The sequence below is a fragment of the Homo sapiens genome, chromosome 2 (assembly GCF_000001405.40).
Source record: "Homo sapiens chromosome 2, GRCh38.p14 Primary Assembly".
Lineage (NCBI taxonomy): Eukaryota > Metazoa > Chordata > Mammalia > Primates > Hominidae > Homo > Homo sapiens.
In genome coordinates this window covers 185,843,300-185,856,501 of record NC_000002.12, presented here as the reverse complement: position 1 = coordinate 185,856,501, position 13,202 = coordinate 185,843,300, and the positions used below count along the sequence as shown (strand labels likewise).

The 13,202-nt window shown below is 39.3% G+C and overlaps 1 annotated feature.

Moving 5' to 3' along the window:
• Positions 9,006 to 9,515: an enhancer, noted in NCBI's record as "H3K27ac-H3K4me1 hESC enhancer chr2:186711714-186712223 (GRCh37/hg19 assembly coordinates)". NCBI's record gives its function as "activates a minimal SCP1, AML or CMV promoter by ChIP-STARR-seq in naive H9 embryonic stem cells {active_cell/tissue: H9 hESC(naive)}" and the evidence as "EXISTENCE:reporter gene assay evidence [ECO:0000049][PMID:30033119]".

Here is a 13,202-nt window from a genome sequence, read left to right as displayed (position 1 = left end):
ATCATGTTTTTTGTGTGTGTCTTTTGTTATTCTGCTAATTTCTGTCTTTTGATTGAAGACTTTCATATATTTACATTTGAAGTAATTACTAATAAAGAAGAACTTTTACCATTTTACTATTTGTTTTCTGTATGTCTGGTAGCTTCCCCCCCCTAATTTTTCCCATTACTGCTTGATATAATTTGGATGTTGTCACCTCTAAATCTTGTTGAAATGTAATTCCCAGTGTTGCAGTTGGGGCCTTGTGGGAAGTGTTTGGGTCATGGGGGTAGATCTCTCATGAATGGCTTAGCCTTATCCCTTTGGTGATCAGTGAATTATCACTCTGGCAGTTACATGAGATCCGGTTATTTAAAAGAGTGTGGTATCTTCCTACTCTCTCTCTCTCTCTTGCTCCTGCTCTTGCCACATGATATGCTGGCTTCCCTTTGCCTTCAGCCATGATGGTCAGCTTCCTGAGCCCTCACAAGGAGCTGAGCCGATGTTGGTCCTATACTTGTACAGCCTGCAGAAATGTATGACAAATTAAACCCTGAATCTCAGGCATTTTTTTATAGCAACTCAAAAATGGCCTAACACACTGGTGATATTGTCTGAATATTTATGTCCTTCCAAAATTCATGGTGAAACTTAATCCCCATTTTGGTAGCATTAAGAACTGGGGCCTTTGGGAGAAAATTAAGTCATAAATGCTCTGCTCTCATAAATGAGTCTAGTGCCCTTATAAAAGGGGCTTGAGAGAACCTTCTGACCTTTTTACCATGTGAGGACACTAACAAGTCTCCATCTATGAAGCCCTCGCCAGACACTAAATCTGCTGGCACCTTTATCTTAGACTTCCCAGTCTCCAGAACTATGAGCAATAAATTTCTGTTTTTCATAAATTTTCTAGTCAAAGGTATTTTTTTTACAGTAGCCAACACCCGAGACAAAAATGGGTACCAAGAAGCAGCGTGCTGCTGTAATAAATACCTAAAAATGTTCCAGCAGCCGTAGAACTGGATAATAAATAATTCTGGAAGAGTTATGTGGTACATTTGCAAAAAACAGAGTGTTAAGGTTGATTCTGGTGAGGGCCCAGGAGAATAGAGTTGTGGAGAATGCCAGAATCTTAGAGACTATCTGAAAGGTTATGAGGAAAATTTGATAGGAATATGGACAATGAAGGTAATGAAGTCTTGTATGGCAATGGGAAACATGTCATTCGAAACTAGAAGGACATCCTTGTTTTAATGTGGCAAAAACTTGGCTAAATTTTGTTTATGCCCTGGTGTTTCATGGAAAGTAGAACTTGTGAGTGATGAAATAGGATATTTGGTGAAAGATACATCTAAGCATAGTGTTGACGGTGTAGCATGACTTTTATTGACTTCTAAAGGGTGTGACTGAACAAACATTTGATAACATTAATATAAACAGAAGGAAGCCAGTAGTTATTTATCAAGACAGTGAAAAAATGATCCTGAAGGCATTTTGCAGATAATTGATGCTGCCCCTCCCATCGCAGGCTCAGAGTGCCAAGGCCTACGGGCAAAACAATGACAAAAGGGGAGTCTTGGGTACTCCTGGTACTTTACGTAAGTCTCTGCTCCCCACATTCTGGTATAGTGCTCCTTAGTTGTCCCAGATGTGGCTCAAGTAGACCAAGGAGCAGTGCAGGCCACAGCGGCTTCCGCTTTGGAAGGCACATTGTAGTAATCCATGCTGGCATCAGTGTAATGCTTATTCTGGAGATACACAGAGTTGGAGAGTTTTAGGGGTGTGGCTACTTCCACCTAAATTTTAAAGGATGCCCGAGAGAGCAAATTTTATGAATGAAATTTGTGCTCTTATAAAAGACATTTCATGGACTGCTTTGCTCATTTTGCCATCTGAGGGTACAGCATTTGGCCCTTCTGCCATGTGAGGATACAAGAAGAGAGTACCACTTTGAGGCAGAGAGCAAGCCCTCACCAGACACCTAATCTGCTGGTGCCTTGATCACAGACTTTCTGCTTTCCAGAACTGTGGAAAAATCTTTTGTTTATAGATTACCCCATCTAAAATATTTTTGTTATAGCAGCCCAAATGAACTAAGAACACTATCTTCTTTTGTGTTTAGTTGATTTTTTTGTAGTTTGATTCCTTTCTCATTTTCTTTCATATATTTATTTTGAATATTGTCTTAATGTATACTATGGAGATTACATTTAACATTATAATTTATAACATACAATTTAATTGCTCTCAATTTAACTTCAGTAGCATGGGGAATTTCTGCTCCTATACAGCTTAATCTTCCCCATTTCCCTGTATATTGTCACAAATGGCTTTTGAATATATTGTGTGGACAACACCATAGATTTATAATTATTTTCATAAGTTTGCCTTTTAAATTCTGTAGAAAATGAAAAATGTAATTAGAAATCAAAAATATAATATCTTTTATTTTTAATAAAATAAAAGTATTTTATTACTTATGTATTTATTTATGTATTTGCCTTTGCCAGAATTTTATTTATTCATGTGGCTTTGACTTACTGTCTAGTGACTTTCATTTTAACTTGCAGGACTCCCTTTGTCATTTCTTACAGGAGAAGTCTAGTGCTAACAAGCTCCCTCAACTTTTAAGCGTATCTTATAAGAAATTATGAGGCATAGAATTCTTAGTTGACAATTTTTTAACAACTTTAAATATTATTGAGAATCCTTGTACATGAACATGAGGAGTCTCTTCTGACACTGCTTTTATGATTGCCTTTTTTTCCAAATTTATAAAATTGTAGTAAAATACACATAACATAAAATGTACAATTGGAATCATATTAAAAGTTTATATGTCGGTGGTATTAAATACATTCATAATATTGTGCAGCTATCACCACTACTATAGTTTTTGAATAAATTTCTCCCCTCAAAATTCATGTTAAAATTCTATCCCTAGTGTTGTAGTGATGGGAAGTGAGGCCAAGTAAAAGGTGCTTGGGTCATGGGAGTTGGTCCTTCATAAATGACTTGTTATTATTTTCATGTGCATTTTTCTTTTTTTTTTTTTGAGATGAAGTCTCACTCTGTCACCCAGGCTGGAGTGTAGTGGTGCAATCTCGGCTCACTGCAACCTCTGCCTCCCAGGTTCAAGGAATTCTCCTGCTTCAGCCTCCTGAGTAGCTGGGATTACAGGTGCATGCCACCATGCCCTGCTAATGTTTTTTATTTTGTATTTTTAGTAGAGATGGGGTTTCGCCATGTTGCCCAGGCTGATCTCAAACTCCTGACCTCAAGTGATCTACCTGCCTCGGCCTGGGATTACAGTGCTGGGATTACAGGCGTGAGCCACTGCACCTGGCCGGTAGTGCATTCTTACTCTGGCAAGACTAGATTAGTTCTTGTAAAAATGGAGTAATTTCTGTGAGAGTGGGTTGTTATAAAGCCAGGACACTTTTTGTGTTTTGCTTCTTTGCATGTGTCCACTTCCCCTTTGATCTTCTCCGCCATGTTATGAGATAGCACAAAAGCTCTTACCAGAAGCCAGGGCCATGTCTTTGAACTTCCCATCCTGCAGAACTGTGAGATAGATAATTCTGTTTTCTTTATAAATTACCCAGCTTTAAGCATTCTACTATAGAAACACAAAATTGACAAAAGCATAAAATTGGTGCCAAGGAGTGGGTATTGCTATACAGATAACTTGAAAATGTGGAAATGTCTTAGGAACTGGGTAATGGGTAGAGGTTAGAAAAGTTTGGAGGATCCGGCCAGAAAAAAGACTGTATTGTTATGAATAAAGCATTAAGGGTGATGCTGGAGCAGGCTCAGAAGAAGGCTAAATATGAGGTAAATTTTGACCAGATGAGAAGTAGTTATTTGTAAAATGAGCAAAGGTTATCCTTGTTATACAGTTGTAAAAAACATGGTTGCATTGTGTTCATGCCCTAAGGATTTGTAAAAGACCAAACTAGAATACCTGGTGAAAGAAATTTCTAAATATCAAAGTACTCAATAAGCAATATAGTTGCTACTTTTAATGGCTTATGATCAGCTACAGCAGTAAAGAAATGACCTAAAGGCAGAATTTATAATTAAAAGGGAAGCAGAAAATAAAGATTTGGGAAATTCAGTCTGACCATGTGGTAAAGAATAAGAGCATTTGCAGGGGAGAAATCAAAGGATACAACTGAGCAATCACTTTCTTAAGAGATTTCATGAATAAAAGGGAACCAGATGTTAATAGTCAAAGCAATAGATAAGAGGGAGTAAAGGCATTTCAAAAGCCTTTGAGATTACCCTCCCCATTACAGGGGTCTGGGAAGACAGAATGACTTTGGGGGACAGGCCCATGGTTCCAACACCCTGTGCTGCCTAAAACAGTGCTCCTTGCATCCTGGCCATTCTGACTGAAGCATCTGTGGCTCAAATGGCCCCAAGTACAGCTCAGATCACTGCTCTGGAGGCCCAGATGGTAAGTCTTGGAGATTTCCACATGGTGCTGTCTGCAGACCTGCAACATGAGGGTATTTTGTATGTGAGAAGAACATGAGTGTTGGGCAGCCAGGGGTAGAATGCTATGGTTTAAATGTGGTTTGTTGTCACCACAATTTTTGTTAAAATTTGATACCCAACATGATGGTGTTGGGAGGTAGGGACACTTGGGAGGTATTTTTGCCATGGGGGAAGATCCCTCATAAATGGCTTGGTGCCATTCCTATGGTAGTATGTTCACATTCTGGTGAGGCTGGACTAGTTCTTGCAATAATGGATTGGTTCCTGTGAGAATGGGTTGTAACAAACCCAGGATGCCCCTTGCATTTTGCCTCTTTGCATGTGTCCACTTCCCAGGTGATCTTCTTTCTCATGTTATAACGCAGCAGAAAGACTCTTGCCAGAAGCCAGGACTATGCGCTTAAACTTCCCAACATGAAGAACCATGAGTGAAACAATCTTTTCTTTATAAATTTCCCAGCTTCAGGTTTTCTGTTATAGCAACACTAAACGGACTAAGACAACCACCATCCATCTCCTTAACACTTTTTGTCTTGTAAAACTGAAACTTAACCCATTAAACAATATCTTTTCATGCTAAGCCCTCCAGCCCTTGCCAACCACCATTCTACGTTCTGTCTCTATAATTTCAGCTAAGACTCTAAGTATCTCATTTATGTGAATTCATACAGTTTTTGTGTTTGTGTGACTGGCTTACCTCACTTTGCATAATGTGCTCAAGCTTCATCCATGTTGTCACCTATGTCACAACTTTCAATCTATTTGTGTCTTTGATACTAAAGGGAGTCTCTTGTAGACAGTATAAAATTGAATCATGTTTTCTTAAATCTAGTCTGTCAGTCTTTGTCTTTTGATTTGAAACAGTTTGATTCATTTACACTTAAAGTAGTGACTGATAAGGAAAGACATACTTCTGTCATTTTGCTATTTGTTTTCTATATGATTTATCACTTCTTTGTCCCTCATTTCCTGCATCCCTGTTTTTTATGTTTAATTTTTTGTTATGAAATATTTAACTTTCTTTTTCATTTACTTTTGTATTTTAAGGTATTTTCTTTCTAGTCACCATAAAGATTACATTTAACATTCTAAAATTACAATAACTTAATTAGAATTATACTATTTTAACTTCAGTGATTTACAAAATCTCTGCTCTGTCATTGTTTTGTCCCTATCACTTTCAGTTATTGTCACAAAGTTACACCTTTATGCATTGTGGGTCTAAAAGTATAAAGTGATATTTTAAATGCATTCTTCTCTTAAAGTATAAATGTGAAGTTATAAACCAAAGTTACAATAGTACTAGCTTTTAGACAATTGTTTTTAAAATACGTTAGTACCTTAAATCATGTAGAAAACTAAGATGGTATTATAAATGTTACATTAATACTAGCTTTTATAATTTCCAATGTATTTATGTTTATGTACGTTTTATTTCTTCATATGGCTTTGAATTACTGTCTATTGTCTTTTCATTTCATCCTGCAGGACTTCCTTGAGCATTTCTTGCAGAGTAGGTCTAGTGGTAAGAAAATTCTTTAGCTTTTGTTCATATGAATATGTCTTAATTTTCTTTGTCACATTTGAAGGACAATTTTGCTTGGCTTTTTTTTTTTTCTCCTTTAGCAGTTTCAATATACTGACCCCTTGCACTCTGACCTCCAAAGTTTTAATGAAAAATCCGCTGACAATCTTAAGGAGATTTTGGGCTGAGACAATGGGGTTTTCTAAATGTACAATCATGTCATCTGCAAACAGAGACAATTTGACTTCCTCTTTTCCTAATTAAATACCTTTTATTTCTTTCTCTTGCCTGATTGCCCTGGCCGGAACTTCCAATACTATGTTGAATAGGAGTGGTGAGAGAGGGCATCCTTGTCTTGTGCCGGTTTTCAAAGGGAATGCTTCCAGTTTTTGCCCATTCACTATGATATTAGCTGTGGGTTTGTCATTAAATAGCTCTTATTATTTTGAGTTATGTTCCATCAATACCTAGTTCATTGAGAGTTTTTAGCATGAAGCGCTGTTGAATTTTATCTAAGGCCTTTTCTGCATCTATTGAGATAATCATGTGGTGTTTGTCATTGGTTCTGCTTATGTGATGGATTATATTTATTGATTTGGGCATGTTAAACCAGCCTTGCATCCCAAGGATGAAGCCGACTTGACCATGGTGGATAAGCTTTTTGATGTGCTGCTGGATTTGGTTTGCCAGTATTTTATTGAGGATATTCACATCGATATTCATCAGGGATATTGGACTGAAATTTTCTTTTTTTGTTATGTCTCTGCCAGGTTTTGGTATCAGGATGATGCTGACCTCATAAAATGAGTCAGGGAGGATTCTCTCTTTTTCTATTGTTTGGAATAGTTTCAGAAGGAATGGTACCAGCTCCACTTTGTACCTCTGGTAGAATTCAGCTGTGAATCTGTCTGGTCCTGGACTTTTTTTTTTGGTTGGTAGGCTATTAATTGCTGCCTCAATTTCAGAACTTGTTATTGGTCTATTCAGGGATTCAACTTCTTCCTGGTTTAGTCTTGGGAGGGTGTATGTGTCCAGAAATTCATCCATTTCTTCTAGATTTTCTAGTTTATTTGCATAGTGGTGTTTATAGTATTCTCTGATGGTAGTTTGTATTTCTGTGGGACCGGGGGTGATATCCCCTTTATCATTTTTTACTGTATCTACTTGATTCTTCTCTCTTTTTATCTCTATTAGTCTGGCTAGTGGTCTATTTGTTGATCTTTTAAAAAAAACAGATCCTGGATTCATTGATTTTTTTTTGAAGGGCTTTTTATGTCTCTATCTCCTTCAGTTCTGCTCTGATGTTTGCCACAAAGACAATAAATTACCTAGAGATACAACTTACAAGGGATGTGAAGGACCTCTTCAAGGAGAACTACAAACCACTGCTCAAGGAAATTTGAGAGGACACAAACAAATGGAAAAACATTCCATGCTCATGGATAGGAAGAAGCAACATCATGAAAATGGCTATACTGCCCTAAGTAATTTATAGACTCAATGCTATCCCCATCAAGCTACCATTGACTTTCTTCACCGAATTGGAAAAAGACACTTCAAATTTCATATAGAGCCAAAAAAGAGCCCGCATAGCCAAGACAATCCTAAGCAAAAAGAGCAAAACTGGAGGCATCACGCTACCTGACTTCTAACTATACTACAAGGCTACAGTAACCAAAACAGCATGGTACTGGTACCAAAACAGAGATATAGACCAATGGAACAGAACAGAGACCTCAGAAATAACACCACACATCTACAACCATTTGATCTTTAACAAACCTGACAAAAACGAGCAATGGGGAACGGATTTCCTATTTAATAAATGGTGTTGGGAAGACTGGCTAGCCATATACAGAAAGCTGAAACTGGATCCCTTCCTTACACCTTATACAAAAATTAACTCAAGATGGATCAAAGACTTAAATGTAAGACCTAAAACCACAAAAAACCCTAGAAGAAAACCTAGGCAATACCATTCAGGACATAGGCATGGGAAAAGACTTCATGACTAAAACACTGAAAGCAATGGCAACAAATGCCAAGATAGACAAATGGGATCTAATTAATCCAAAGAGCTTCTGTATAGCAAAAGAAACTATCATCAGAGTGAACATGCAGCTTACAGAATGGGAGAAATTTTTTGCAGTCTATCCATCTGACAAAGGGCTAATATCTAGAATCTACAAAGAACTTAAACAAATTTATAAGAAAAAAAGAAACACCCCTATCAAAAAGTGGGTGAAGGATATGAACAGACACTCCTCAAAAGAAGACATTTATGCAGCCAACAGACATGAAAAAAGGCTCATCATCACTGGTCATTAGAGAAATGCAAATCAAAACCACATTGAGATACCATCTCACACCTGTTATAATGGCAGTCATTAAGAAGTCAGGAAACAACAGATGCTGGAGAGGATGTGGAGAAATAGGAATACTTTTACACTGTTGGGAGTGCAAATTAGTTCAACCATTGTGGAAGACAGTGTGGCGATTCCTCAAGGATCTAGAACTAGAAATACAATTTGACCCAGAAATCCCAATACTGGGTATATACCCAAAGGATTATAAATCATTCTAATATAAAGACACATGCACATGTATGTTTATTGTGACACTGTTGACAATAGCAAAGACTTGGAACCAACCCTAATGCGCATTAATGATAGCCTGGATAAAGAAAATTTGGCACATCTATACCATGGAATACTAAGCAGCCATAAAGAAGGATGAGTTCAGGAGGAGCCAAGATGGCCGAATAGGAACAGCTCCGGTCTACAGCTCCCAGCGTGAGCGACGCAGAAGACGGGTGATTTCTGCATTTCCATCTGAGGTACCGGGTTCATCTCACTAGGGAGTGCCAGACAGTGGGCACAGGCCAGTGGGTGAGCGCACCGTGCGCGAGCCAAAGCAGGGCCAGGCATTGCCTCACTTGGGAAGTGCAGGGGTCAGGGAGTTCCCTTTCTGAGTCAAAGAAAGGGGTGACAGACGCACCTGGAAAATCGGGTCACTCCCACCCGAATATTGCGCTTTTCAGACCGGCTTAAAAAACGGCACACCACGAGATTATATCCGGCACCTGGCTCGGAGGGTCCTACGCCCACGGAATCTCGCTGATTGCTAGCACAGCAGTCTGAGATCAAACTGCAAGGCGGCAGCAAGGCTGGGGGAGGGGCGTCCGCCATTGCCCAGGCTTGCTTAGGTAAACAAAGCAGCCGGGAAGCTCCAACTGGGTGGAGCCCACCACAGCTCAAGGAGGCCTGCCTGCCTTTGTAGGCTCCACCTCTGGGGGCAGGGCACAGACAAACAAAAAGACAGCAGTAACCTCTGCAGACCTAAATGTCCCTGTCTGACAGCTTTGAAGAGAGCAGTGGTTCTCCCAGCACGCAGCTGGAGATCTGAGACCCGGCAGACTGCCTCCTCAAGTGGGTCCCTGACCCCTGACCCCCGAGCAGCCTAACTGGGAGGCACCCCCCAGCAGGGGCACACTGACACCTCACACTGCAGGGTATTCCAACAGACCTGCAGCTGAGGGTCCTGTCTGTTAGAAGGAAAACTAACAAACAGAAAGGACATCCACACCGAAAACCCATCTGTACATCACCATCATCAAAGACCAAAAGTAGATGAAACCACAAAGATGGGGAAAAAACAGAACAGAAAAACGGGAAACTCTAAAACGCAGAGCGCCTCTCCTCCTCCAAAGGAATGCAGTTCCTCACCAGCAACGGAACAAAGCTGGATGGAGAATGACTTTGACGAGCTGAGAGAAGAAGGCTTCAGACGATCAAATTACTCTGAGCTACGGGAGGACATTCAAACCAAAGGCAAAGAAGTTGAAAACTTTGAAAAAAATTTAGAAGAATGTATAACTAGAATAACCAATACAGAGAAGTGCTTAAAGGAGCTGATGGAGCTGAAAACCAAGGCTCGAGAACTACGTGAAGAATGCAGAAGCCTCAGGAGCCGATGCGATCAACTGGAAGAAAGGGTATCAGCAATGGAAGATGAAATGAATGAAATGAAGCCATAAGGGAAGTTTAGAGAAAAAAGAATAAAAAGAAATGAGCAAAGCCTCCAAGAAATAGGGGACTATGTGAAAAGACCAAATCTATGTCTGATTGGTGTACCTGAAAGTGATGGGGAGAATGGAACCAAGTTGGAAAACACTCTGCAGGATATTATCCAGGAGAACTTCCCCAATCTAGCAAGGCAGGCCAACGTTCAGATTCAGGAAATATAGAGAACGCCACAAAGATACTCCTCGAGAAGAGCAACTCCAAGACACATAGTTGTCAGATTCACCAAAAGTTGAAATGAAGGAAAAAATGTTAAGGGCAGCCAGAGAGAAAGGTCGGGTTAACCTCAAAGGGAAGCCCATCAGCCTAACAGTGGATCTCTCGGCAGAAAGCCTACAAGCCAGAAGAGAGTGGGGGCCAATATTCAACATTCTTAAAGAAAAGAATTTTCAACCCAGAATTTCATATCCAGCCAAACTAAGCTTCATAAGTGAAGGAGAAATAAAATACTTTACAGACAAGCAAATGCTGAGAGATTTTGTCACCACCAGGCCTGCCCTAAAAGAGTTCCTGAAGGAAGCGCTAAACATGGAAAGGAACAACCGGTACCAGCCACTGCAAAATCATGCCAAAATGTAAAGACCATCAAGACTAGGAAGAAACTGCATCAACTAACGAGCAAAATAACCAGCTAACATCATAATGACAGGATCAAATTCACACATAACAATATTAACTTTAAATGTAAATGGACTAAATGCTCCAATTTAAAGACACAGACTGGCAAATTGGATAAAGAGTCAAGACCCATCAGTGTGCTGTATTCAGGAAACCCATCTCATGTGCAGAGACACACATAGGCTCAAAATAAAAGGATGGAGGAAGATCTACCAAGCCAATGGAAAACAAAAAAAGGCAGGGGTTGCAATTCTCGTCTCTGATAAAACAGACTTTAAACCAACAAAGATCAAAAGAGACAAAGAAGGCCATTACATAATGGTAAAGGGATCAATTCAACAAGAAGAGCTAACTATCCTAAATATATATGCACCCAACACAGGAGCACCCAGATTCATAAAGCAAGTCCTGAGTGACCTACAAAGAGACTTAGACTCCCACACATTAATAATTGGAGACTTTAACACCCCACTGTCAACATTAGACAGATCAACGAGACAGAAAGTCAACAAGGATACCCAGGAATTCAACTCAGCTCTGCACCAAGCGGACCTAATAGACATCTACAGAACTCTCCACCCCAAATCAAGAGAATATACATTTTTTTCAGCACCACACCACACCTATTCCAAAATTGACCACATACTTGGAAGTAAAGCTCTCCTCAGCAAATGTAAAAGAACAGAAATTATAACAAACTATCTCTCAGACCACAGTGCAATCAAACTAGAACTCAGAAGTAAGAATCTCACTCAAAGCCGCTCAACTACATGGAAACTGAACAACCTGATCCTGAATGACTACTGGATACATAACGAAATGAAGGCAGAAAAAAAGATGTTCTTTGAAACCAACGAGAACAAAGACACAACATACCAGAATCTCTGGGATGCATTCAAAGCAGTGTGTAGAGGGAAATTTATAGCACTAAATGCCCACAAGAGAAAGCAGGAAAGATCCAAAATTGACACCCTAACATCACAGTTAAAAAACTAGAGAAGCAAGAGCAAACACATTCAAAAGCTAGCAGAAGGCAAGAAATAACTAAAATCAGAGCAGAACTGAAGGAAATAGAGACACAAAAAACCCTTCAAAAAATCAATGAATCCACAAGCTGGTTTTTTGAAAGGATCAACAAAATTGATAGACCGCTAGCAAGACTAATAAAGAAAAAAAGAGAGAAGAATCAAATAGACACAATAAAAAATGATAAAGGGGATATCACCACCGATCTCACAGAAATACAAACTACCATCAGAGAATACTACAAACACCTCTATGCAAATAAACTAGAAAGTCTAGAAGAAATGGATAAATTCCTTGACACATACACTCTCCCAAGACTAAACCAGGAAGAAGTTGAATCTCTGAATAGACCAATAACAGGAGCTGAAATTGTGGCAATAATCAATAGTTTACCAACCAAAAAGAGTCCAGGACCAGATGGATTCACAGCCGAATTCTACCAGAGGTACAAGGAGGAACTGGTACCATTCCTTCTGAAACTATTCCAATCAATAGAAAAAGAGGGAATCCTCCCTAACTCATTTTATGAGGCCAGCATCATTCTGATACCAAAGCCGGGCAGAGACGCAACCAAAAAAGAGAATTTTAGACCAATATCCTTGATGAACATTGATGCAAAAATCCTCAATAAAATACTGGCAAACCGAATCCAGCAGCACATCAAAAAGCTTATCCACCATGATCAAGTGGACTTCATCCCTGGGATGCAAGGCAGGTTCAATATACGCAAATCAATAAATGTAATCCAGCATATAAACAGAGCCAAAGACAAAAACGACATGATTATCTCAATAGATGCAGAAAAAGCCTTTGACAAAATTCAACAACCCTTCATGCTAAAAACTCTCCATAAATTACGTATTGATGGGACGTATTTCAAAATATTAAGAGCTATCTATGACAAACCCACAGCCAATATCATACTGAATGGGCAAAAACTGGAAGCATTCCCTTTGAAAACTGGCACAAGACAGGGATGCCCTCTCTCACCACTCCAATTCAACATAGTGTTGGAAGTTCTGGCCAGGGCAATTAGGCAGGAGAAGGAAATAAAGGGTATCCAATTAGGAAAAGAGGAAGTCAAATTGTCCCTGTTTGCAGACGACATGATTGTATATCTAGAAAACCCCATTGTCTCAGCCCAAAACCTCCTTAAGCTGATAAGCAACTTCAGCAAAGTCTCAGGATACAAAATCAATGTACAAAAAATCACAAGCATTCTTATACACCAACAACAGACAAACAGAGAACCAAATCATGAGTGAACTCCCATTCACAATTGCTTCAAAGAGAATAAAATACCTAGGAATCCAACTTACAAGGGATGTGAAGGACCTCTTCAAGGAGAACTACAAACCACTGTTCAATGAAATAAAAGAGGATACAAACAAATGGAAGAACATTCCATGCTCATGGGTAGGAAGAATCAATATCGTGAAAATGGCCATACTGCCCACTGTAATTTATAGATT